The 26,198-nt window shown below is 55.5% G+C and overlaps 1 protein-coding gene across 9 annotated transcripts in view, besides 1 other annotated feature; it reads right to left on the bottom strand.

Moving 5' to 3' along the window:
• HMCN2 (hemicentin 2) overlaps positions 1 to 26,198 on the bottom strand; it is a 168,364-nt gene that overhangs the window by 56,266 nt on the left and 85,900 nt on the right. For 7 of the 9 annotated variants that reach the window (NM_001291815.2, XM_011518466.3, XM_011518465.3 and 4 more), the window contains 23 exons: positions 24,653 to 24,931; positions 22,814 to 23,095; positions 22,004 to 22,112; positions 21,601 to 21,770; positions 19,870 to 20,024; positions 19,372 to 19,468; positions 18,444 to 18,539; positions 17,254 to 17,430; positions 15,693 to 15,850; positions 14,868 to 14,991; positions 12,969 to 13,144; positions 12,131 to 12,227; positions 11,863 to 11,982; positions 9,421 to 9,582; positions 8,007 to 8,288; positions 6,727 to 6,894; positions 5,451 to 5,564; positions 4,734 to 4,820; positions 3,165 to 3,356; positions 2,122 to 2,295; positions 1,869 to 1,982; positions 1,200 to 1,342; positions 59 to 209 (listed from right to left, as the gene is read on the bottom strand). In NM_001291815.2, the coding sequence (NP_001278744.1) occupies positions 59 to 209; positions 1,200 to 1,342; positions 1,869 to 1,982; positions 2,122 to 2,295; positions 3,165 to 3,356; positions 4,734 to 4,820; positions 5,451 to 5,564; positions 6,727 to 6,894; positions 8,007 to 8,288; positions 9,421 to 9,582; positions 11,863 to 11,982; positions 12,131 to 12,227; positions 12,969 to 13,144; positions 14,868 to 14,991; positions 15,693 to 15,850; positions 17,254 to 17,430; positions 18,444 to 18,539; positions 19,372 to 19,468; positions 19,870 to 20,024; positions 21,601 to 21,770; positions 22,004 to 22,112; positions 22,814 to 23,095; positions 24,653 to 24,931 (3,627 nt within the window). Of the gene's footprint in view, positions 1 to 58; positions 210 to 1,199; positions 1,343 to 1,868; positions 1,983 to 2,121; positions 2,296 to 3,164; positions 3,357 to 4,733; positions 4,821 to 5,007; positions 5,093 to 5,450; positions 5,565 to 6,726; positions 6,895 to 8,006; positions 8,289 to 9,420; positions 9,583 to 11,862; positions 11,983 to 12,130; positions 12,228 to 12,968; positions 13,145 to 14,867; positions 14,992 to 15,692; positions 15,851 to 17,253; positions 17,431 to 18,443; positions 18,540 to 19,371; positions 19,469 to 19,869; positions 20,025 to 21,600; positions 21,771 to 22,003; positions 22,113 to 22,813; positions 23,096 to 24,652; positions 24,932 to 26,198 lie in introns of those variants that run through there. The other 2 variants (XM_011518467.3, XM_017014586.1) reach the window with 2 other exon arrangements.
• Positions 18,203 to 18,974: an enhancer, noted in NCBI's record as "H3K27ac-H3K4me1 hESC enhancer chr9:133234271-133235042 (GRCh37/hg19 assembly coordinates)". NCBI's record gives its function as "activates a minimal SCP1, AML or CMV promoter by ChIP-STARR-seq in primed H9 embryonic stem cells {active_cell/tissue: H9 hESC(primed)}" and the evidence as "EXISTENCE:reporter gene assay evidence [ECO:0000049][PMID:30033119]".

Genomic DNA, 26,198 nt, shown 5'->3' with positions numbered 1-26,198 from the left:
CCCCACAATGTCCTCACACTGGCTGACGCCCCACCCCTGGCCCACTGGCGCCACGCACCCTGGATGAGCACGTTGAAGTCCTGGTCGTCCTCGCCAGCCACATTGGTGGCCACACACAGGTACCGCCCCGAGTCTGAGACCTGTGTGGGCTGGATCTGGAGCAGTCGCCCTTCACCCAGGACCTGCAGCCGCGAGCTGGGGGTCACGGGCTGTGAGGAGGATGAGGGGGTCAGGGGAAGGGAGATCAGAAATGAGGGGCCACGAGCAGCAAGACAAATGTGCTTAATTCTCAATACATTCTCCAAAAATGCAGCATAAAGTGACAAGAACACCCTGAGACGTTTATAAAACCAAATCCATAGAGCCTAAAGATGAGAAGGGCCACACATGGGTGAAAATAGTAGAGTTTAAAGTTTACAAAGAGTTCAACTTTTTATTAAAAATATGGCTGGGCGCAGTGGCCAGGCCTGTAATCCCGGAACTTTGGGAGGCCAAGGTTGGTGGATCACAAGGTCAGGAGTTTGAGATCGGCCTGGCCAACATAAAGAAGCCCCATCTCTACTAAAAATACAAAAAATTAGCCAGGCGTGGTGGCGGGCGCCTATAATCCCAGCTACTCAGGAGGCTGAGGCAGGAGAATCACTTGAACCCAGGAGGCAGAGGCTGCAGTGAGCCAAGATCGTGCCACTGTACTCCAGCCTGGGTGACAGAGCGAGACTCTGTCTCAAAAATAAAAATAAAAAAATAAAATAAAATAAAGGCTGGGTGCGGTGGCTCATGCCTGTAATCCCAATACTTTGGGAGGCCAAGGCGGGCAGATGACCTGAGGTCAGGAGTGCGAGACCAACCTGGCCAACACGGTGAAACCCCATCTCTACCAAAAATTACAAAAATTAGCTGGGCATGGTGGCGGGCACCTGTAATTCCAGCTACTCAGGAGGCTGAGGCAGGGAGAATTGCTTGAACCCAGGAGGCAGAGGTTGCAGTGAGCCAAGATTGCACCACTGCACTCCAGCCTTGGTGACAGAGCAACACTCCATCTCAAAAAAAATAAAAATAAAATAAATAAAGGGTGACTGGGGCCCGGACCAGCTCTAGGGCTAGGTGCTTTAAGGGAAGCCTTTTCTGGAAGGTTCCAAGCAGAACCAGCCGGAAGCAGAGGTGAGAGCCAGAAGCTGCGCAGGGGGTCCCAAACTCACCTGTCCATCCTTGTACCAGCGGATGGTGGGCGGGGGCACAGCCCAGCTCTCACACTCCAAGGTCAAGGTGCTGTTGACCTTGGTCTTCACCTCCTTCACGCCGACCTCCGCCAAGGGGTCGTCTTTGGAGATGGAAGGGGGGACTGAAAAGCACGAGGGGTCTGAGAGCAGAGCTGGGGGATGGGTGCTGAAACCCTGAGCTTACCCTGGTCCTGGGGGTAGCCTCAGAAATGGGGGCCGGCCCAAGAGACACAGGGATCCTGGAAGCCAGCCTGCTCCTGGCTGTCCACTTAAGGGAGAGAGCATTTGTCTGCAAGAGTTATAGGATGGGGCAGGTCTGAGGCAAGGGAATTTCTGGGGTCACCTCAGAGGACTTCCTTGGGGGTCCCCAGTCTCAATCTGCAGAGCCTCTGTTTATACTCCAAAGCAGAAGTGGCAGGAGGAAGCTAGGACTGCAGTGGGTCTGGGAGCCCAAGTGGCACATGCCCTAACTCACTGTTCTCTCCTCATTGTGTCCTCTGGAGCCCGCCCTAGCTGCCCGGTGACTGTCAGAGGACATATGCCACATGGAGACTCCCTGGAGCACCAAGGGTGGCTCAGGTGCCTGGGCCCCTAGGTTCCCGGGCGGTCTTCTGCCCACCCGGCTGTGCCCCAGGGTCCCCGACTCACTGAGCACTTCCACATGGTAGTTTTTCACGGCCTCCCCGAGCTCATTGGTGACCACGCAGGTGTACTGGCCAGCATCTTCCTTCTGGGCATTCAGGATCTGCAGCCCGTGGGTACCTGTGTGGGGGCCAGTGGCCAGGGTCACCCCAAATCTGCAGCCTCATGCCAGGCATGAGGACAGGCTCACAGGTCCTCTCCTCCAATTCTGATGACATGTCACCTGTTCCCTCCCTCCTTTCCCCCCAGAGGGCGTCACCTGGGAGCAGCTGGATGTTCCTGGAGGCCTCAAACGGGGCCCCGTCCTTCATCCAGGTGATGTTGGGGGAAGGGAAGGCCAGGGCCTCGCAGATCAGAGAGATGGGGTTGTTGACAGTCACGGTCACCTCCTCATCTGCACTGTCCTCGGCCCCTCCCAGGATGGTGGGAGCCACTGTGATGGGGGGCCAGGGAGGCAGTTATGAGCAGAGATCCCTGACCCTAGACTAAGGACCAGGAAAGCCTCAGACCCCGGTGCTTGGCCTCGGTACTTCTGTCAGTTACATTACAGAGATGGGAAACTGAGGCTCAGAGAAGCCCATGCCCGGGGTGGCCAGGCTTGAACTCAGGCCTGGGTGACCCAGAGCCCGGCTCTCCAAACGCTAAGCAATACTACAAGGGAAAGCTGAATAATTTTTGCCTCCATTTCCCCATAGCTTCTCAACATCCAGCCTCTCTACCAATTAACCAGAGGCTTCTCAATTCTGTTTGAGGGGGGAGTGGGAGTTGGGGGCTTTGTTCCCCGCTGAGTAGAGTAGCTTTGCTTTCATTGGTCCCAAGATTTCTTCTTTCAACTCCCGCAGGGGACTCTCCTTTTAACTGCCAGCATTTTAGAAACAGATTTTTCTAAGCTGGTCTGTGCCCCTCTCATTTGATAGATGCTCTGTTTCTCCAGGCTTACAGAATAGTAGGTATGTATTGTCCTCAGGAGATGGAGAGATGCCTAGTTGTGAACCCACCACCCTGGGGCCTGGCAATAACTCTTGTCACCTCTCTGAGCCTCAGGGCTTCATCAATGACATGGGGACAAGCACATCTCCCACCTCCTAGTGTCATTGTGAAGATTCAGTCAGGCCTGTTGAAATGCCTGGCCCATAATAAATGTTCCGTCAATAGAGTCGCTATATGATTTTTGTTGTCAAACTCGGAGAATTAGAAGAAAAATAGTAGAATGGTTTGTGGGAAGTTGTCTGTAAGGAGCCAGTCACCTTGCTTCTCCCTCCCTCCAGCACCCGCGGTGGCCAGGAGATGCCCAAAACTTACACAGGACACTGAGCTGGAAGTGTTTGGTCTTCTCCCCAACAGCGTTGGCTGCAATGCAGGAGTAGTGGCCAGCACTGGACAGGTTTGCCTGGAGGACCTGCAGGAGGACTCCGTCTGGGGAGATGTGGTGAGCATCTCCCCTAGCCAGAGGCCGGCCATCTTTGAACCATGTGAGCTTGGGCTGTGGGTGGCCTGTATGCAGAGCAGAGAATGAGACAATTTGGCAGGCTTTGACTAGGGCAGCCCAGGGGTCACAGGCTGCTCCCAGATGGATCAGGGGATGTGAATTTTCCATTCCGGCCCAGAGGCCCATGAAGCACAAGAAGAAGCAGCAGCAGCCTGTGCCCCTTCCTCTGTGATTTGGCTGCCTTCTCCTTACTGAGGAATGGCTAGAGATGGCTTAGCATAGACAGGCAAGACAGAAAAACAAGGTATTCCTTCCATCCATTCATTCATCCACCCACCCACACACCACCCACCAATCCATCCATCCATCCAACCATCCATTCATCTACCTACTCACCTATCCTTCCAGTCAATCAATCATCCATTCATCTCTCTATTCGTCCACACACCCACCGCCCACCCATCCACCCAACCATCCAACTATCCAACCATCCATTCATCTACCTACCCAACTATCCCTCCATTCAACCAATCATCCATTCATTTCTCCATTCATCCATCCACCCAACCATCCACCCATTCACCCACCCAACCACCCAACCATCCAACCATCTACCTACCCACCTATCCTTTTATTCAGCCACAAATTTCTCCATCCATCCATCCATCCATCCATCCATCCATCCATGCACCCATCCACACATCCATCCATCCATCCAACCCTCATTCATTCATCCACCCATTCATCTACCCATCCACCTACCTATCCATCTATCCATCCACCTACCTATCCATCTATCCATCCACCTACCTATCCATCTATCCATCCACCTACCTATCCATCCATCCATCCATCCATCTACCTATCCATCCATCTATCCATCCATCCATCCATCCATCCACCCACCTACCTATCCATCTATCCATTCATCCATCCATCCATCCATCCATCCATCCATCCACCCACCCACCCACCCATCCATCCATCCATCCATCCATCCTTCAACCCATAAGCACGAATGGGAGCCTACTCTGCCAGGCACTGGGGAAACCATGGTGACAAGGCAGCAGCTGGGTCTTCAAGAAGCTCAGATGCCACAAGGCCACTATGGTCCAATGTGGGTCAGTGCTAGGACAGGGAAGCACTGGGGCTTGTGGGAGCCCAGTGGAGATGGCCCACTGAGCCTTAGGGGCCAGCCAAGGACTCCCTGTGGAGGGTCCTGAAAGCTGAGGTCTGTAGTGAGGTGGGGAGAGGGAAGAGTGTTTGGGATGGAAGAACACATGCAAAGATGAGCTGGGACCTGGTGCCGAGTCCAAGATGTAGAGAGACCCCAGTCAGGAGGAGTGGGGCTGGGGCAGGTGGGCAGATCCCCAGGGATCCCCTCCTTTCTGAAGGTGCCTTCCCGCCCCTTCTCCCAGCCCATCACATCATGTGGCCCTTACCTGTGACGTTGCACATAAGATGGGCAGTCTGTCCATCAAGGACCTTGATCACCTCCTCCAAGTCCTCGTTCTCAATACTGGGAGGAACTGGGAGAAGCAGGGAGACAAATGGCTAGTGATGGGGTGGGGGGGGGGGCTGGCCCGCCCAGGCTACACAATCACAGAACAAGAAGCCAAGAGCCCACCGTTTCTTGTGCCTCAGTTTCCCCATCCCATGCCTGTTTCCATAGGGTGGTGAGTTTAAGAAACATTTCCTGCTGCCTGATGGAAGTACCAGTGTCTCAGAAGAAGACTCTGATGAGAGGCAGGCAGTCTTAGTGGTGTCAAAAATATTTGCCCCCTTCCACTTTCGATTGTCCCTGCTGTTTCTGGAAAGTTCCATGGTGGCCTGAGAACAGAGGTTTCTTGTCACCTGGGCTGGAGTGCAGTGGCACGATCACTGCAGCCTCTGCTTCCTGAGTAGCTGAGACTACAGGCGTGTACCACCATGCCCTGTTAATTTTTGTACATTTAATAGAGACAGGGTTTCACCACACTGCCCAGGCTTGAACAAAGGTTTTTGATGAGGCAAAGTGTACAGGGCTTAGCTTCTCCCTCCTTCTCTGTGCTGGGCCCCTGCTACAGCATGAGCCATGAGTCTGGGGACCTGCCTCTGGGAGCTCCCAGGCAGTGGGGAAGAGTTCATAGGGCACCCATGAGAATGGGGTTGTAACGCACCCAGCACCTCCACACTGAAGTTCCTCCGTGCCTCCCCAGCCTCGTTGCTTGCCAGGCATGAGTAGAGGCCACTGTCTTGCTCCTGTGTCTGAGTCATCTTCAGCATCCAGCCACCTGGGGAGGGAGGGGCGTGGGCCCCAAGCATGGCTCTGAGCAGCATTCTGTCCCAAGCCGAGCCCCCTGCTGCCCAGCAGGAAAAGGCATTATAATTAGGCGTGTACATGTCTGTCTCCCATTGTGTCCTGTTCCTCAGATCCACAAACTGAGGCCCAGGAGGGTAAACAAATGGATGGAACTGCCTGGAGATTAGACACGTACCAGAATAAATCTGAGGACCCTGCTCTAGCAAGAAGTATCTGTCACCCTGGCCACCCCTGGCTCTGGGGATTGGCTGGAGCTGAAGGGAGAGTAATGGGTTATGTAGTCCTGGCCCAGCAGACCTCTGCTCTACTCTGACAGACATGGTAAAAGGGCTTCTCCTCCCAAGGATCTCTCAGGGAGAGACAGCTCCTCTCAGAGGAACCCAAGGGTCTCCCAAGATCAGTGTGTGGAGGGCAGATACATAGGACACAGGACACCACTGCTGTTACTGCACCCAGAGCCGACATTACTAACTGATTGCCACATTCCTTTCCACTGGGCCCAATGCAGTCTCTGAATTCCTATCCACAGAATGCACCCGGCAATTCTTACCAAGTGCTCAGAAATGATGCCCAAGAGGAAATGTATTTGCCATCTCATCATGGGCTGCGTGGAACAACCAATGGGTGACTGAGGCATAGCCTCAGGGGCCTTGAAGTCCTTGCAGGATTTGGATGGGACAGAGACTCCTGGGCCTCAGTTCCTCATTTGTATACCAGCAAGAACCTCACAAACCCATTTTATGAGGAGGATAAATATTCAGAGGAGAAGGTGCTTAGATCAGCACATCCAAAACTTGTTACTGTTCTGTGGGATGTTATATATAAGTGCCAAAGTTTGTTTTTTTTTTTTCTGCAGGACTTATCAGAACCTTTGCTATGCAAATGTTCATTGTGGTTCTCTAGATGAACAGAGCAGGAAGCCTTTTCCAAATTTATCTAAATCCATGATATTTTCCTGGAGCACCTCACCTGACTAGTGTTTTGGGCTGCATTCTTTGGGGACCAGCAGCTGGAATGATTATTCCAACCAGGCCTGGCAGCTCAGAGTCAGAGGTCATGGGCATGTAATGGATAGAGTCAGAGGCAGAGAGCCCGACCTGATTCCCAGGATCCAACCTTAGCTGGTATCTTACCTGCCAGCAGGTAGGTGTCCTCCCCGGGGCTGACAGGCTCCTCCCCTCGGAACCAGCGGATGGCTGGAGGTGGGATCCCCATGGCTTCACAGAGCAGAGTTAAGGGGCTGTGCAAGGCAGCAGTGATGTTGGTCAGCGGGTCCAAGTCTCCAATGAGCTCTGGGGGCACTGGACACAAAGAAGAAGCCACATTCAGGGTGCAGATATGGGCTGTGTGCTTCATGCTCCTTCCCCAGCCCCACTGACTGCCCCCCAACTCCACCCAATTGGGAGAGTCTGAGGAGCAGAAGTGACGAGAGCAGAGCTGCTCCCCCTAAAGTGAGGACACCTAGGAGGGAGCCCATGGCGCCACAGGCTGGGCTCTGGAGTCGGGCAGGCTCCTTGGGCCTCAGTCTCCCCAAGCCCTCAGCGGGATGCTGGGGGATTCAACAGGAACACGTGAAAGTGCCCAGTCCAGTATCTGGGCAGAGCAAGCGCTGAGCCAGTGGGACCGGAATTAGTGCAAAGGCGAAGCCAGATGTGCTTCCCAAATCCACGTGTGGAAGCTAAGTGGCAACGCTGCAGTTCTGAAGGAACCTGTTCCTGAAGGAAGCCACTCTCTACCCAGGGGGGTGGGGGTGTTGGGGATATCTGGGTGAGGCTCGAGATCCCAGCAACAGTGAGGGGCGCCCTCCCTAAACTGATCCCCGCCCACCTCTCCCACCCTATCTCTTACCACTCCCTGTCTCCACCCTGAATTATCCTTCAGGCATACAGTAGGAGCTCAGTAAATGATGGAATGCATGAGGCTGCCCCAGCCACCCTCTGCCTGGCACGTGCTTCCCCTCACCTAGCAGCTGCCTAACTCCTACTCACCCTTTATGGTCCAGCTTAAAAGGCACCTCCTCTGGGAGGTTGCCCTGACCTGCCCCAACAGTATTCAAGGTTTTCCTGGTCTCTCACAAGCCCCTGAATTCTCCCCATCACATACCAGTCATGCAGGACAGGGACTGCTTACTTTCCCAGTGCCCAGAACAGAGTAGAGGAAGAGTAAACCCAAGAGGGAGAGAGGGAGGGAGGAGAGGCGAATTGGGGGAAATTGGGGCCATTTGGGACCAGTCCTGATTTTGAGAGCAGTGTTGGTGGCTCCCCCCACCAGCAGCTCTCATTAGAGCCCTGACTCCAGAAAGAACAGGTGTGACCCCAGGATCACAGCCTGAGGGCCGTGCCTGGAGATTGAACCCACCTTGCCCACTCTAATCTGCCCCAGCCCAACTCCTCCAGCAGCTGCCGGTCCTCACCCAGTACGGAGAGCTCAAACTTCCTCTCTGCCCTCCCAGCCAGGTTCTCGGCCACACAGCTGTAGCGTCCAGTGTGGGCAGCCTGGGCCCGCTCCACATGCAGGCTCTGACCCTGGTTCTGCAGCTGCAGGCCCAGTTCAGCCCCCACGGGCTGGCCGTCCCGCTCCCATGTCACTGTCGGAGGGGGTTTCCCTGTGGCGTTGCACTCCAGAGTGGCCACTCCATCCTGGACCACAGAGACTTGTGTGGGAGGCTCCCGGGGACCGGCAATCTGAGGGGGAACTGTTGGGGTGGGGAGAAAGCCCATCAGAGAAAGCTGCTGGGGCCACCAGGCACCACACACTTACCCCGGGCCCAATAGGGACACACCCTCTCCCCTTGCCATCGCTGGCTGTGTGACCTCGTGACCTCACCTCCATTTTCCTTCCCAACAATGGGGTCATAACAGCACCCTACTGCTACTACAGCCTGGGAGTCACAGGCAGGCCTGCTATGTGGGGAACAGCCCTTTCAGGAAGTGTGATGGGTTTTCTTCCTCAAAAACCAGAGACTTCCTGGAGTTTCAACAGTTGTTGGGACTGGTTAGGGGTGGGAAATTATTCTACGGGTGGGTTTCTCCTCAAGATGTTGAACAGCACTGTTCCTGGTTTTATTTTCTAGCAGGATTTTTACCAGGCTGGGGGATTTCATTTCATCACTGCAGGACCAGTAGATAGGGCTTTAGGTTTCCATCATATATAGGAGCTTCACATAATACTCATGCTTCTTTCGGGTTTCCAGCTGTTTCAGATGTGGCTTTTCTCCTCTGGACCACTGGGGGGCCCTTAGGGACTGTGCTGCTGCCCCCACCCCCAATGCTTGGGTTAGTGAGAAGCTGTGTGGGAGGGGCAGTTAAAATGCCAGGTGATATGGCTTGGCTGTGTCCCCACCCAAATCTCATCTCGAATTGTAATCCCCACGTGCAGAGAGAGGGACCTGGTGGGAGGTGATTGGATCATCTGGGCGGTTTCCCCTATGCTGTTCTTGTGATTGATAGCGAGTGAGTGAGTCAGTTCTCAGGAGATCTGGTTGTTTGATAAGTGTCTGGTGCTTCCCCCCTGGCTCTCTCTCTCTCCTGCCGACATGTAAGGCGTGCCTTGCTTCCCCTTCATCTTCCGCCATGATTGTGAGTTTCCTGAGGCCTCCCCAGCCATGTGGAACTGTGAGTCAATTAAGCCTCTCGTTTATAAATTAGCCAGTCTCAGGTAGTGTCTTTAGAGCAGTGTGAGAACGGACTCACACACCAGGAACGTGAGGGAGGAGAAAGCCTGCACCACACACCATCACTTCCCCGTATTTGCTCCAATTTCAGGGCAGCGCCTGCCCAGCCAGTCCATGATCCCAGACCCTTCCAGCCCCCGCCCAGCTCACCCACCGTGCACCTCCAGCTGCAGGTCCTGGCTGCTGTTCCCCACCACGTTGCTGCATTCACAGGTGTATGTTCCTTCCTGAGCCAGCTGGGCCTGTCCCAGGTACAACAGCCTCCCCACAGCCGACACGTGCTGGAGGCCAGCCCCCTCCCCGGGGAGGGGTTGACCTGGGTGCAGGAAAAAAGAAACTCCTGGTCCAGGGCATTTGCAAGGACGTGATGTCTTTCCACATGGAAAGTTTGTCCTCCTACCCATTCTTGCCAATTCCTGCTCATCCTTCAGGTGTCCATTTAGACACTACCTCTTCCGGGAAGCCTTCCATGAGTGCCACTTCTGGTCCTGGTGCCTCTTCTGAACTCCCCCCATCCCCCTAGGCTTCTCTGCATCACAGATCTGCCTACAGGTGCCCCATCTGAATCCTACTCTGGCCTGAGCCCTCCGGAATGGCAGACTCTGCCTCAATTTCCTTCTGGGATCCCTTTTTTTTTTTTTTTTTTTTTTGAGACAGAGTCTCTCTCTGTTGCCCAGGCTGGAGTACAGTGCCACCATCTCGGCTCACTGCAACCTCTGCCTCCTGGGTTCAGGTGATTCTCATGCCTCAGCATCCCGAGTAGCTGGGATTACAGGTGCACACCACCATGCCCTGCTAATTTTTGTATTTTTTAGTAGAGACGGGGTGTCACCATGTTAGTTAGGCTGGTCTCTAACTCCTGACCTCAGGTGACCCACTGCCTCGGCCTCCCAAAGTGCTGGGATTACAGGTGTGAGCCACCGCGACCAGCCTCCCCCTGGGATCCTTAGTGGCTCCCCAGGGCCTGGCACACAGCAAGGCTCAATAAAGGCTACTGAAGGAACGACCATCCACTTAGCTACAGTGGCCTGAGGAGGGTGACCAGGCAACTGGTGGACCTGGCATCAAGAAGACCCCTTGGAGGAAGAGGATTTGTCAACCTCGACCTACTGGATTAAACCCTTCCTCCTCTGTTTCTAGAGAAGCAGACCTCTGGGCTGGGTCATGACTCAACGCATGTCCCATCAGGGAAGCAGACCCAGTGGCCACCTGGCATTGCTTCCTCCCTCTCTGTCCTGGTGACCTCAGCTTGTCTTGCTACTCCCAGGCTGCTTCCTAGCCCAGACCTCTCCTCTGAGCTCCAGACACCTGTCTCTCACCATCCACTTGACACCTCACTAGGTATTTAGCAGATGTCTCAAGATTAATTCACCCCAAACGCTAGGTCTTTCCACCATATCTGCCCCTGGGGTCTCCCATCTCGGTAATGGCAGCTCCACTCTCCTCCATCATCCCTGATTCCCTGCCTCCTCTCATTCCCCCATCCAACCAGCATTCCTGCCCCAGGACCCTTGCACTTACCCTTACCTCCGCCTGGGGTGCATTTCCCTGTGATATTCTCATGTTCAGCCCTTAGCTTTTCAAGTCCGCTTGGTCGAGCATTCCTGGCCACCCAACTTAAAACTGCAAATCCTACAACCCCCCAGAACATCTTTCCCGCTTCCTAGCTTTATTTTTCTCCATAGCATTTATCACCTAAGGTACAGAGTCATTTACTAACTGTGTGTTTATTATCTGACTGCCCCCATTGTGAGGGTGGGGATCTGTTTTATCCTCTGCTATATTTCCAGTGCCTAGAACAGGGCCTGGTACAGTCTCTCAATACATATTGGTTAAATGGGCTGGGTGCTGTGGCTCATGCCTGTAATCCCAGCACTTTGGGAGGCTGAGGTGGCAGATCACCTGAGGTCAGGAGTTCGAGACCAGCCTGGCCAACATGGTGAAACCCTGTCTCTACTAAAAATACAAAAATTAGCTGGGCATGGTGGCACCTGCCTGTAATCCCAGCTACTCAGGAGGCTGAGGCAGGAGAATCACTCCAACCCAGGAGGCGGAGGTTGCAATGAGCTGAGATCGTGCCACTGCACTCCAGCCTGGCAAAAAAAAAAAAAAAAAAAAAAAAAATTGGTGAAGTGAATTCCAAATGTTTTTTGAGCATCTTTTTTGTACCATACACTGAACTTGGAATTCAGCGGTGGTCAACATGGTGCCTCACAGGGGTCACAGACTAATGGAGGAGCACACACAGAAAGACTAATGTGGGTGACATGACAAGTGACAGGGACTGCATCAGGGAGGCTCTGTCCCAGCCTGGCAGTCAGGGAGGGCTTCCTGGAAGAAGGGACGTCTGAAGTGAGGCCTGAAGTTCAATCCAGCTCTTACTGGCAGAGCAGGACCAGGGGCTCCTGCAGGCTCAGGGACTGAGTAGAGAGGAGCTGGGGGAAGCACCACTTCTGTAACCAGCATCCCCACCCCCTCGAGGTATAAGACCCCCCCATCTCAGCTAGGCTCTGGGGTGGGGGTAACCAGTGGGGACTGGGCATAGCCTCCTTGTGCCTGGCAATGAGGTGGGGCTGGGTGAGGGCAGCAATCCTACCGTCCTTCCTCCAGGAGATCTTGGGGAAGGGGACACCCCGGCATTCGCAGGACAGCCTGGTAGGGTGCCCCTCTCTCACAGTCAGGGTGTGGGATTCCCTCAAGGGGAACACTGGAGCAACTGAGTCAGAGCAGAGAGAGAGTTAGTGGGGGTGGGGCTGAGATGGGGAGGGGATGAGCAAGGCGAGGGCAGGCTGGAGGAGGGCTGTGTCCTGGGACGCAATCAAGGCAGCAGCCCCCTCCCCCTGCCCAGCCTGGGAGACCCTCACCCCAGACGTTCAGATTGTAGTGTTTCTCTGAGTGGCCGGCCTGGTTCAGTGCCTCACAGGTGTAATGGCCCGCATCCCACACATCGGCTCTGTCCACCTGGCAGAGAGCAAAGACACCCCATGGGAGGGGACGCACAGAGATGGGTGAGCCCTGGACAGACTGTGTGACTGCAGACATGTCACGTGACCTTGCTGAGCCCCCAAGCTGCCCACTTGGAGCACGGGGCAGTGACAGCATCTCCCCACCAGCTGCACCGGGAAGTTTCCAGAAGCACGTGCCTGTGGTGGGCCTGAGAAGGGCCCCCTCGATGGCAGTCCTGCCAGCCTCCCAAACTTCATGGCCCAGATCTGCTAAGGGGGAGGCATGTGACTGGCTCAGACCTGCTCCTGCATTTCATCAGCTCCCAGCCTCTTTGGAAAGCTCAAGAAAACAGACCCGAAGAGAAGGTGGAGGAATGAGGCTGGTGGGGTGCAGGGGACCTGTCCTCAGGGCTCAGATCCTGACATGGGGTTGCTGGGGCTAGGCTGTGGCTTTGAAGAATGAACGGAAGGAGGGGAAACCAAATGGCAGTGCTCTGAGTTGGGAATGATCATATCACAAGGTGTAGGGGGGTGGGAGGAGGAGCAGACAGGTGAGGAAGGTTCTAACCCAACAGCTGGCGCCACTCAGCTGAGTCAGGGGCCCTGAGGGAGGCCCCGAGGAACCAGTCCTGGGGTTTTGTCCTCCATCCCCTGAGGGGAAAGGGGCTTGCAGGTCACTGAGCTGGGGCACCTGCAGGCCCCACCCTGCCCTTGGGCCGAGGTGGAGGCCTGCTTGGCTGGCCAGGGGCCTGCACACCTGCAGCAAGGCTTTGTCTGCGGAGAGGTGGACTCCAGGCCGTGGTTCCAGGGGCCGCCCGTCCTTCCACCAGCTCAGCACAGGAGGGGGCATGGCGTGGCTCTGGCACTCCAGGGCCACTGACTCATTGGCCACAACGGACACATTCAGCTCTTCTCCAAGGATACTCGGGGGCACTGCAGGAGGGGGCAGGAGAAGGGCTCCCTCAGGCACATGGGTGGGGCTGGCAAGGAGGGGCCACACCCTGGGTCAGGCCTAGCTACTCGCAGCAGCCAGGAGTGACCACCCTTCCTCTGCCTTCAGTCCTGCTTCGGAGGAGCCAGTCTGAGTAAAATTGTCACGATATCCACATCCCAGATCTCTGCAGCATGTTTCCACCGAGGGAAATTGGGGAAGGAAGCTCAGGGTCCCCCTGTGTTATTTCTTACAGATGTCTGTGAATCTATAATTATCCACAGTTATCTCAAAACTTTCTAAAATTTAAAATTTTTGTTTAAAAAAATTTTTTTAAGCAGGTCTCAGAACCACCTTTTGCCCCTGAAGCAAAAATAACCAGTGCAGCTTTGCAGGAAGGAACGCAGGGTCCAGGGGGAGAACTCATGGGGTGGAATCCTGCCCTCCACCACTCACTCGCCATGCGAGGCCCTGGGGATGCCACTTGCACTCCTGGGCCTCAGTCTCCTCGTCTGTAAAGTGGGGATAATGAAAATCCCCACCTGATGGGGCCGCCATGAGGTTCAATCCAATGGCACAGGTGGGGCTCTTGGGCATACAATATGTATTAACCACCATCTTCACTCCAGCAAAGGGAAAGAGCTAGAATCGAATCCTTCCTATAACCTCCCGCCCAAGACTACGTTCATTCGTTTTCTTTCTTTTTCTTTCTTTCCTTCCTTCCTTTCTCTTTCTTTCTTTCCTTCCTTCCTTCTCTTTTTTTCTTTCTCTTTCCTTCCTTCCTTCTCTTTTTCCTTTCTTTTTCTTTCTCTCTCCCTCTCTCCTTCCTTCCTTCTTTCCTTCCTTCCTTCTCTCTCTCTCTCTTTTTCTCTCTTTCTTTCTTTTTTTTTTTTTTGACAGAGTCTGGCTCTATTGCCCAGGCTGGAGTGCAGTGACATGATCTCAGCTCACTGCAACCTCTACCTCCCAGGTTCAAGTGATTCTCCTGCTTCAGCCTTTCGAGTAGCTGGGACTACAGGCACGCACCACCATACCCAGCTAATTTTTTGTATTTTTAGTAGAGACGGGGTTTCACTGCGTTGGCCAGGCTGGTCTCGAACTCCTGACCTCAAGTGATCCACCCACCTCAGCCTCCCAAAGTGCTGGGATTACAGGCGTGAGCCACCATGCCCAGCTCCCAGCATTCTTTCTTATACCTCCACAGAGCCCCAGAAAAACCCAGAGGAGGACATTTAAAAATAAGCTACTGTGGTTACAGTAGCTTCATGAGCTCAGAGGCTTAGTGAGTCCCCATGGTGACCTTTGAGGTGAGTGCTATTCTTCTCATTTTGCAGATGAAGAAATGGTGGCCGAGAGAAGCAAAGTGACCAGCTCAAAGTCACAGAGGCAGGGTTTGAACCCCATGTCGGTGACACTCAAGAGCCGGCTTTCCTAACCACCACTCCACGCTGTTCCTGCTACTTCACACCCCTTCCGCGTCTCCCTGAACATGGGGCAGAGCTCCTGGCTATGCGGGGCCACCTGCCCACCCTCCCACCCATTGCGGGAGCTCATACTCTAGGGCAGGTCTCTGGATCTCACTGATTCCTACTGGAAGGCAGCTGTTCTCAGGTGGACACTCCTCCATCCACCCAGCCTCTCTCCTTTTGGAAGTGACTGGGAATGCCCCCCACCCCATCTCCCCCGCTGCTCTGAACCACATGGCTTTCCCAGTCTGAGACTCACTGTGGACTTGCAGGACAACATCCTGGCGGTCCTCGCCCACCGCGCTCACAGCCACGCAGGAGTACCTCCCAGAGTCGGAGGCCCGGGCACTAGCCAAGGTGAGGACCCGGCCCCCAGGGAAGACCTGTGACCCCAGGGGGAAGCCCAAATTAGGCAACTGTCCTGCTGTTGCAGGCCCCAAGGGGCAGAACCCCACCTGCCCAAGCCGGCCTTGCTGCCGAGCACGCCTGGACAGCCTGCCCCAGACTCAGAGCCCCTCATGATGCAGGGAAACCCAGGGTTGCATCTGGGCCTCCGGACCTCTGCCAGCTGGCAATGACACTGGACCTCAGGAAGAGTCCTCTAGAGCCCCTCTGTCCACTCGCCACACATGGCCAGTGAGCCCTTGAAATGTGGCCAGGCCAAATTGAGAGAGGCCCCAGGTACAAAATATGCCACGGACTTCAAAGAGTTAATATGAAAAGAAGAATATAAAATATCTCAATAATTATTTTGTATTGATCCCATGATGAAATGAAGCTATTTTGGATATATTGGATTAACTAACGTGTATTATTAACATTGATCTCACCTGTTTCTTTTTACTCAGTTTACTGTGGCCACAAGAACATTTACAATGATGTAGGTGGTTCATGTTCATGGAATGTATCGTTACCATTGGGCAGTGTGGCTCCAGCCTCTCTGTTCAGTCCCACCTCCCTCTAGCCCTCGGCCCTGGGCTATCGCTGCTTCTCCCTCACCCTAAGTTCCCAGGGCCTGACCTCTGTTCCCAGCATCTACGGGAGGTGCAGGGAGGTTGAGCCGGGGCCACCCAGCCCTACTGACCTGCAGGCCAGGGGTCCCTGCAGGGGACACAGGGTTTCCATCCTTCAGCCACATCAGTGTGGGGCTGGGGGCACCGGTGGCATTGCAGGTCAGCCGGACAGGGGTGTTGACCAACACAGGGCCTGGCAGGCTGGGTGGCAGTGTGATTCGAGGGGGCACTGCAGGGCAGGGGTGACATGGGGTACAGGCTGAGCCCCACTGGGGCAAAGCAGGCAGGGCCCCTGGCTGGGCACCCCTGCAGGAGCACACAGCCACAGCAAAAGCACAAGGACAGCCATCCAGACACGGGCTCTGAGCCACTCCACTGCCCCCAAGGCTGCTACTTCCATCCTTTCAACACCACCATGAGGCTTCTATAGATGGGAAACTGAGGCTGACAGAGGGGAAGTCACCTGCCCAAGGCTGACCACCCAGGAAGCAGCACTCGCACTCAGGCCTCTGGTCAGCAGAAGGTCATTTATTATGGGGATGGGGAGGGGACCAAGGGTCCCTGGACAGTGCTACTTCCTAACTCAGGGGTGTGAGATGAAATACCATATTACAGGCAGTCCCCTTTTGGCAGAAAATAGCCAGAAGATTCCATTGTATCTGGGAGGCACCAGCCATGATGCCCAGGGTCCCAGGCCTCTGCCCAGCTACCCACTGCTCTTAGAACCAACCTCTCCCATGGCCCATGAGGCCCAAGAGGTCCAGCCTCCATATGGCCACCAGCACCATCCTGGCCCTCTTCTCAGTGTTGTAAATCCCAGGCCCCGTGGCCTCCTTTCAGTTTCTCAAATTCCCCAGATCTTCATAACCTCAGGCCTTGGCAGAGACCTCAGTGTAGGTATCCAAGTGTCAAAGATGCCTCCTGGACTCCACAGGCCAAGTCAGTGCCCTGTTATAGGTGCTCCGTTGCACCTCATGTTCACCAGCTGCTATCACAATTGACATCAAGTAGTACTCTGGGGAATGATCTGATTGCTGTGTCCTCCACTACACTGAAAGCTCCTAGGTCTGTCTTATCTAGGGCTCTAGGTCCAGTCTCCGCCCCAGAGCATGGACTCAATAAGTGTGGTTGGATAGAAAATGGATCAAGGAAAGAATGGGTAGTTGAATGACTGAATGGATGGTGAATGGGTAGATGGGTAGTAGATGGATGGATGGATAGATGGGTGGGTGGATGGGAGGGTGGACAGGTAGACAAATGGGCAGGTGGATGGGTGGGCAGACAGGTGGGTAGATAAATGAATGAAAGGATGGTTGGGTGGATAAATGGATGGATGAGAGATGGATGGATGGATGGATGGATAGATGAGTTGATGGATGGATGGGTGGATAGGTGGATGAGTGGATGGGTGGATGGATGGAGGGGTGGATGGGTGGATGGATGGGTGGGATGGATGGATGGATGGATGGATGGATGGATGGATGGTTGGATGGATGATGGATGGATGGGGTAACGGATGGATGGGGTGGTAGATGGATGGATGAGTGGACAGGTGGATGGACAGACTAATAGACAAATGAATGAAAAGACAACTTTTTGGACAAGGGACCTTGTAGGCCCAGGGAAGCTCACCATTGACCCGTAGGCCATACCGCAGCTCTGTGCTACCTGCCACATTGGATGCCACACAGCGGTAGCTCCCAGCATCAGAAAGCTGGGCTTGCTCAATGCGGAGAACTCTCCCATCCACTGATACTGTCACTCCCATCCATGAAGAGACAGGTTGGTGGCCCTTGAACCAGGAGACATCTGGGGAAAGGAAGAGAGATGCAAGGGGGAAAGGAAGAGAGAAGCAAGGGGGAATGGAAGAGAGAAGTAAGGGGGAAAGGAAGAGAGATGCAAGGGGGAAAGGAAGAGAGATGCAAGGGGGAATGGAAGAGAGAAGCAAGGGTGCTGCCAGCCCGTCAGACTCTGCTGGTGTGGTGGGCACCCAAGAGAAACTTCCAGGGTGACCACACTATTTTTTCAGGCATTGGAGAAGGTCAGAGTTCTTCATTCAGGAAAGGGAACCGGGATGGAACCGGGCAATGTTGCCCAAGACAGGACCAAGGGTGGAGAAGAAGCCCCGTGGGCAGAGGCTGAGGCAGCCAGGAGCAGAGAGAGTCAAACTCAGCCCTGCCCTCCCCCTACCAGAAGACCCCGTCCCCTAGGGGGCATTAGAGAACATGGACCAGCCCAAAGCAGCAGCCTCAAAGCCAGGCTGGACCGCGTGTATCTGCAGCTTCCCTGCATCCTGCCGGGACATGTCCCCGGAACTCAGCAGGCATCCCCACGAGAGGGGGCAAATATCCCCAGGGCTCACAGGCAACAAGCAAAGCAGGGTGGGCCTAGTTCAGATGGGAGCAGGAGAGAGGCCTTCCTCCTGGGCCACCGTAAGCCTCACCCAGTCCCCTATGCAAACACCCACACCCAGCCCCCAGCTCCCGGCCCTTTCCTCCACTTCTGGTCTAGAGGGGAGGACCCTACAGACCAGATGGTGACTCTGAGGTCCTGATCCTCGCCCCTAGCCCCGGACAGCCCTGTGAAGCTTACTGTGAGTAGATGTCCTGCAGGCCTGTTTCACACTGGCTCTGGACCCTAACATGGCCTTGGCCCGAAGGACATTGTTGAAGAGGAAGAGAGGAACATGAGAGAAACGGGGGGGAAAGACCTGATGATTTCTCCCCATTATGTCCAATCAGAGAGTCCCTGGGTCACTCGCCAGCCTCATTAGACAGTAAATTGGGCTGGAAGTAGCTTTCAGCCAAGAGGAGGGGTCTTACCAGGAGGGGGCACGCCCGAAGCCAGACACTCCAAGGTCACTGAGGCATTTTCCAGCACTGCCTTGTTGACTGGGCCTGGCTCGATGTTGGGGGGCACTAGGGGGAGACAAGGAGAGACCCAGCTTGGTAGGTGCAAGCTCTGGGCAGCTCTAATCCCAGCCATCCCAGCAGTGCTGCTCCCTGCTCCCCATAGAAAATCCTAGACTAAGGGCTCTAAAACAGCTCATGTCCTCAGACTAAGCAACCTCACTCCTGGAAGCAAGCCCAAGAACAAAGAGCAACAGGCTGCCATCCTTACGGCAATCATACAGCACCCAGCCCCCACCCCAGGACAGCCGACGCCAGCACAGCCAGGGGAAGGGACAAGGACGAGGATTTCCCTGCAAATAAACCCCCAAAATAAGCAAACGTAAATATGAATGTGGGCAAGGTCTTCCACTAAAAATCCCACCGTGGCTCACGCCTGTGATCCCAGCACTTTGGGAGGCCGAGGCGGGCGGATCACGAGGTCAGGAGATCGAGACCATCCTGGCCAACACGGTGAAACCCCGTCGCTACTAAAAATACAAAAAAATTAGCCAGACGTGGTGGTGGGTGCCTGTAGCCCCAGCTGCTCGGGAGGCTGAGGCAGGAGAATGGCGTGAACCCGGCAGGCGGAGCTTGCGGTGAGCCGAGATAGTGCCACTGCACTCCAGCCTGGGCGACAGAGCGAGACTCCATCTCAAAAAAAAAAAAATCCCGCCAAAAGGGACTACACAGCTATTGCTAACACTTTCATTTCAGGGCTTTCTACTTCCTCTGAAGTTAAGTGCACAACTATGACTGAAAAACCTCCTCCCCCTCCCTCGCCACACACTTCAGCCCCAAGGGTCCCCAAGGGATCACCCAACATGCTGGCCTGGGCCCTGCTGGTTACCCACGTCCTCACCCAAAACTTTCAGCGCCACTTCCCTCTTGCTCTCCCCAGCCAGGTTGGTAGCAGCACAAGTGTAGATGCCCTCGTCCCTCAGGTCCACCTTCTCAATCTGGAGGGGAGGGGGCAGAGAGTATGCCACAGGGCTGTCCAAGTGATGACGGGACATGGCGAGTGGCCAGGCTGCTGCCGAGCCCGGGGGCAGGAGCAGTGAGGCATGGGGACACTTTTGGCTCTGGAGGTAGAGTTATGAGCCAAGCACTTGGATTCCAGGGATTCGTCCGATCTCCAGGCATACCATTCCCTGTCCCCCCCACTGACATTTTCTCCCTCTGACAACTGAAGCTCCTAGGACCCGGAAGAGGCTGAGGCTCACCCTTTCAGGCTGAGAGGGCTCTGGGCCCTTCCTATGCCCAGCCTGCTGGGATTTGCTCAGAGTCTCCAGGAAGCCCCCAGAGCAGCCCCTCCACCTGTGCCCAGCTGGCTTGCCAGCCCTGGGGCCCCTGCACATACCTGTAGGTTCCCCCCAAAGGCTGCCAGGGCTACACCATCCTTCCACCAACGGAGGCTTGGGGTGGGCACCCCATCCCCTATGCACTGGAGGGTCACAGGCTGCAGGAAAGGAGCTGTGATGTTCTCACCCCCAATGATACTGACCGATGGGAACTCTGGGAAGGGAAAGAGTCAGGAAGAGCCCGAGTCAGAATCAGGAGGAGTACAGTGGGCACCCAGCAACCCCCTCGATGCCTGGGGGTGAGAAGGTGCCCTTGAAGGGCTGGCCAAAGGCTAGCATCTAGCTTCTGCCCACCATATCCCCTAGACGCATGGCTTAGGGGAAAGAGCTCTAGACTGGGAGCCAGCAGAGAAGTTATTCTCTTTAAAAATTCTCCCAACCATCTGTGCACCCATGCATCTATTCATGCATTTATTCATCTACCTATCCTTCTGTCTATCCATCCTTCCATCCATCCACCCACCCATCCATCATCTACCAATCCATCCAGCTAGCCATCCACCCACTCACCCTTCCATCCATCCACCCACCCATCCATCAATCCACTCATCCATCCACTCACCCTTCCATCCATCCATCCATCCCTCCATCCATCCATCCACCCATCCATCCATCTACCCACTCTTCCATCCACTCCCCCATTCATCCACTCATCCATCCACCCACCCACCCATGCATCCATCTACCCACTCATTCATCCATCCACCCACCCACCCATTCATCCATCTACCCACCCTTCCATCCATCCACCCACCCACCCATTCATCCATCTACCCGCCCTTCCATCCATCCATCCACCCATCCATCCATTTACCCATCTATCCATTTACCCATCCATCCACCCTTCTATCCACCCATGCTTCCATCTATCTACCCATCCATCCACCTTTCCATCCATCCATCCATCCATCCATCCATCCATCCATCCTCCCTTCTATCTGTCCACCCATTCATCCACCCTTCTATCCACCCATGCTTCCATCTATCTACCCATCCCTCCACCTTTCCATCCATCCATCCATCCACCCTTCTATCTGTCCACTCATTCATCCACCAACCCATTCATCCACCCACCCATCCATCCACCCACCCACTGATCTATCCATGCATCCTTATGTGTGCTGAGCATCTACTCTGTGGCCAGAACTATACTGGGCCCCTGGACACAGTCAGGGAAAGGCAGCTACCATGTTGCCCTCTCAAAGCTCACAGAGGTGGACAGTGGAGATGGACAACCAAATAAGCAATCCCAATGTAGTTGTTGGAGGGCTAAGGCATTGAGAGGCTGGGCAGTGCAGATGAGAAACATGGTAGAATCAAGGAAGGCTTCCTGGAGGAAAAGTATTTCAGGATATGCCTGAAAGATAAGGAGCTAGGCAGGCAAAGAGGAGGGAGAAAGTTCTGGGCAGAAGGAACAGCAAACGTAGACGAAGACAAGAGAAAGAGGGTTGATATATTAAAAGAACTAAGTGAAGTTCAGCAGATGGACAGAGAGGAAGCTGGGGAGAGGAGTGAGGCCTAGGGGCTGGTCAGGACTGAGGATAAGTGTGATAAGTGGCCCGGCCAGCCTCTCACACCTGCGTCTCTGTGGGGAACTGGGAAGTCCAGCCCAGAAACGCCATCCAGCAAAGACCAGCCCCGTGCCCTTCCAGGCCTGCCACAGCCCAGGCTCCACCCACCCCTGGCATCTCAGGCTGCCCACAGCTCCAGAACCCCAGGCGCCCACTCACCATGCACAGACACCTCCACCTCGGCCCCGGCAGTGCCCGCCTCATTGGTGGCCTGGCAGGCGAAGAGGCCTGAGTGGTCCAGCTCCACATGGTCAATGTGCAGTGTGGTCCCCTGCGAGGCCACCTGCACCCCAGCCAGCTCCTCGGCTGGGCGGCCATTCTGCAGCCACCTAAGGTGAGTAGGGAGGGGGGCGTGTCAACCTGAGACCAGGGAAGGCCAGGCCAGGCAGGACAAGCAGGAAACCTAGAAGTTCCTCCCACCTGCTCTCACCAGCCGTGGCTCCAGGCCTCTTTCCTACTCCTGGAAACAGGAAGCCTCTCTCCTGTCCACTTCCCCCCACAATCCGCAAAGCACACGCTCTCTGCCTACCCCCAGCCCTGGCCTCCACCACCCCAGACTCACTGGATAGTGGGTACTGGGGAGCCTGAGGCCTGGCAGGGAAGTTCCAGGGGCTGTCCCACGATGGTGGTCACCTGTCCCAAGCCTTCAGCCACCAGGAGCTGTGGGGGCACTGCAGGCAGAACACACTCCTGGGTGTTTGGAGCTGAGCAGCCACTGGCCTCAAACCCTCCCAAGTCCCCAGAGCCTTCCAAGCGAGGCCCAGCTGCACCTCACCCTCACGTCTCCCTATCAGTGGCCCTTCCTCCAGGAGGCCTTCCAGGGCCACCCAAGGCGGGTAAGGGGACACCCCGGGCTCCCCAAAGGCTTGGGCCTAATTATTTAACATCTGCCTCCCTGGCAGACTGAGGGCTCAGGAGTCCGGTTGGCCTTGTTCCCAGCTTCATTTCCAGTGCCGCTTGGGGTCAACACAGCACTAGGACCTGAGATGCTTCAGCAATGGATGGAAGAGCAGGCGAAGGCCCCACCCGCCCTGCTGGGACCATACCCACAAGCCGGCCTTAGGAAAGTCTCCGTAAAGGGCCATTCCATTGGCAGAAGGCAGAACGAGGTCCTCTGTCCTGGGTGACCCAGCCCAGGGTCCTGGGCACAGTCAGGGACCCTTGATCCTGGGGCTCCACCCTGCCCACTCCTAGCCCTGCCGGCCCCACAGCCCAGGCCTCAGCGTCCTCATCTGTGTCATGCAATGTGGGGACACTGGTTACTTCTCCCCACCCTCCCTCCACTCCAGGAGCTCTCTCGGGACAAGCACGCAGCAGGCCTGGGCAGACGTCCACAGCCCAGGCAGCTCTGAGTGGGGTGGGCCGGGCTCACCCTGAACCTCCACGGAGTACTGCAGGACGGCTTCCCCGGCAGGACTGCTGGCCACACAGCTGTACAGGCCACTGGATGCCTCCCCCGGGCTCTCCAGCCTCAGCACACTCCCGTCTGTCTCCAGCCGCGACTCGTTGCTCTCTGCCACGGGCAGCCCCTCGTGGTGCCAGGAGAGGGTGGGGGACGGGTGGCCTCTGGCCACGCACTCCAGCGCCACAGGCCTCCCAGCCACAGCCTTCACCACGTATGGTCTTCCACCGGCGCCCTCGATGGTAGGTGGGACTGGAAAAGAGGCAGGGGGCGGCTTGGGGACCACAGCTGGACGCTAGCCTGCTCTCATCTCAGCCCAACAGGCCCGCTGAAGCCCCTCACCGACCCCACTCCATGTGAAACACTTCCTTCCCTCACCTCCAGTGGCTGAACCCCTTGCTCAGACCCCGGGGCAGCATTCTCACCCTCCTCAGCCCCTGGGCGCGCCACCCCACCCCTGGGTGCTGACTGTTGCCTCTCCATCCCCGCTGCTACCCCGGCAAGCCCAGCATGAGTGGAAAGACGGCCGGCCTACTTGCATCCCCAGTGCCTATACACAGCAGGTCCAGTGTCTGCTGGACTCAAATAAGACCCCCAGGGCCGGGACAGAGCTCTGCTCCTGGAAGTCCCCTCCCTCCCTGGTCTCAGGAGGCAGAAGACTGGGGCAGACCTGAGCCCAGATGGCTTGGATTGGGGGGCTCCTAACTTAGCCAGCGATGGCCAAGGGGACCAGATGTTAACTATGCTTGGAGCCCATGGTGGCCACGCCAAAGGGGAAATTTCTCTCCTACCCTCAAGGAGACCCTCAAGTTGCTGAGCTGATGAAGCCATTACCAGGGCACAAGGGGCAACCGTGGCCTGGGAGATGCTTCTTAACCTTATTTGGGTGTAAGACGCTTTGAAAATTTAATGAAAACATACACATACACATTTTCTATTTCATTTCCTGGGGGACCTCGGGTCCCAAAATAAGACTCCCTGAGCTAGCGGCGGGGCCATCTTCAGAGGCTGCCGTGGAGCCCATGCAGCTCAGCTGCCCTTTGAGGTTCCAGTACCCAAGCCCTTTGCATCTTTGGAAGCCAGAGCTCCCAAAGTGACTCCCCACGGGGGGCCAGGCTGACCCCTATCAGCTTGCACGCTGCCCTCTCACACTTCACCGGGGCCCTGCTCAGACCCATCCAGAGCCACCGACACCCTTTCCTCTGAGTTCTCCTTCAAAAGTCCCCAGAGCCAAGCCCCTCAGGGCTGAGCTGATGCTGAGGTTCACAGCATGAGGTCTGGAGTCAGATCTGCCCGCGTAAGGACCGGGTTCCACCACCTCCTAGGGGTGTGAACCTGGGGAAACCTCTCTGCTCCAGAGCTTCACTGCGACCATCTGTAACTGGGGACATGAGAGCTCAAGTCCCTTTGCCAGCTGATCAAATGAGCTGATGCTGCAAAGTGCCCCTCTGGTCTAGCTTACAGAAGTGATGAGCTGAGGGCAGTTAATTATTGTGGTGGTCACAGGGTTCTGGGCATGGTTTAGTGAAAAGCCCCACACCATGAGGGGAGACCTGGATTCTACACTTAGCTCCGCCATGGCCTCCTAGACAGGCCCTTCCACTCCTGGCCTCAGTTTCCTTACAGGTATGAGGGAAGTCACATAAGCTGGGAGGACCCTTCTCCCTAGATAATGTCTTGGTCCCATTATCCTTTTGCCTCTGACCACTCCAAGTGGCCACCTAGCCTTCCTTTGGAGACAGGCAGGGGCCACCATGGCTGAGTCCCTCCCACTGCCCACCCCGGCTGCCGTGGCCCCTGGCTGCTCACCATAAACATCCAGCCTGGTGGCCTTCTCTGCGGCCCCCACAGCATTGCTGGCCTTGCAGGTGTAGACGCCGGCATCGGAGCTCTGGGCCCTCCCCAGCTGCAACTGCCGACCGCCCCTAGTGTAGACCACCTTGGTGCTGGTGGGGAGCAGGGCCCCGTCCTTGAACCAGGTGATGTTTGGGGTGGGCACTCCTCGAGCCTCACACAGGAGCTGCACTAGGTGGTCCTCCATGACGGCCACCTCGCCTGTCTCGTTGGAGCCCCAGATAGTGGGGGGCGCTGAGAAGGAAAGAGGTGGGGCTGGTCACAGGCAGCCGCTGAGGCCTCTGGCATCTTCCCCAGGGCAGCAGACTCATGCCTTTGGGCCACAAGACACACCACAGGCTTCCATTGCGGGGGCAGGGAAGGCATGGTGGACAAGGAGGGGAGGGGTCTGGGGACAGATGGGAGAGGCCAGCATGGGGACATGCTGGTGTGGAAGGTGCAGGAGGTGGGGGCGGGGCCACAGGCTTGGATTCTGGGCCCTGCTCTGCTCTAACATACTGGAAGACCAGGGGTGAGCCACTTCCCCTCTCTGGGCCTCAGTCTCCCCATCTGTGAAATGAGAGGCTGGACTAGATGAGGACTTCACACAGGGCTGGTCACTCACCACCGATGCTACCCAGGACAATGCTAGGGGCACATGGGCACAGCATGAAATAACTGCATCTCAGAATGGAATGGTTACGCCCCTCCCAAATCTCCTTCTATCCGGGTTACAGCAAGGAAAGGCTCCGTTTGGTGCTACTATGCATGTCCCTAACCTTTCTAGCACTTTCTACTCTCCGCTTTTTAGCACAGAGAGTGCAGATGCAGGCTGGGTGCCCTCTGCGGAGTCCACGCCTCGAGAATTTACAACATTGCTCTATGGGGTGTGTTTGTTTTTTCAGCTTCCTTAGCCAAGCGAAACTGGTTTTCTGCTTACAGTTTCGATATTAAATATCCTTTATAAGAATAAGGGATATTTAAATAAATGTGTTTCAGTGTAAGGAAGTGTGACTCATTTAAAGAAAAGTAAATCATAATTCCAAGTGGTATCAGAAGTAGTAAATTTGGGCCAGGTACAGTGACTCACGCCTGTAATCCCAGCACTTTGGGAGGCCAAGGCAGGAGGATCACTTGAGGTCAGGAGTTCAAGGCCAGCCTGGCCAACATGGTGAAACCCCACCTCTACTAAAAATACAAAAATGAACTGGGTGTGGTGGTGGGCACCTGTAATCCCAGCTACTCGGGAGGCTGAGGCAAGAGAATCACTTGAATCTGGGAGGGGGAGGTTGCAGTGAGCCAAGATGGTGCCACTGCGCTCCAGCCTAGGCAACAGAGAGAGAATTCATCTCAAAAAAAAAACATAAGTAGTAAATTTTTAGAGCTGGGATGGAAACCACGGATTTGGAAAATGCTGGGCCAGATAACCTCTATCCCCTGACCCTGACCCCAACCCCGACCCCAGCCCCCAGCTTTCTTGGACTCAGGGATCACTCACCAGGTCCCCCATTTCAGCCCTCAC

The sequence above is a fragment of the Homo sapiens genome, chromosome 9, assembly GCF_000001405.40.
Source record: "Homo sapiens chromosome 9, GRCh38.p14 Primary Assembly".
In the NCBI taxonomy this organism is placed as follows: Eukaryota; Metazoa; Chordata; class Mammalia; order Primates; family Hominidae; genus Homo; species Homo sapiens.
Note: the sequence above shows the minus strand (reverse complement) of the source record. Positions and strands in the feature narration are given on the sequence as shown.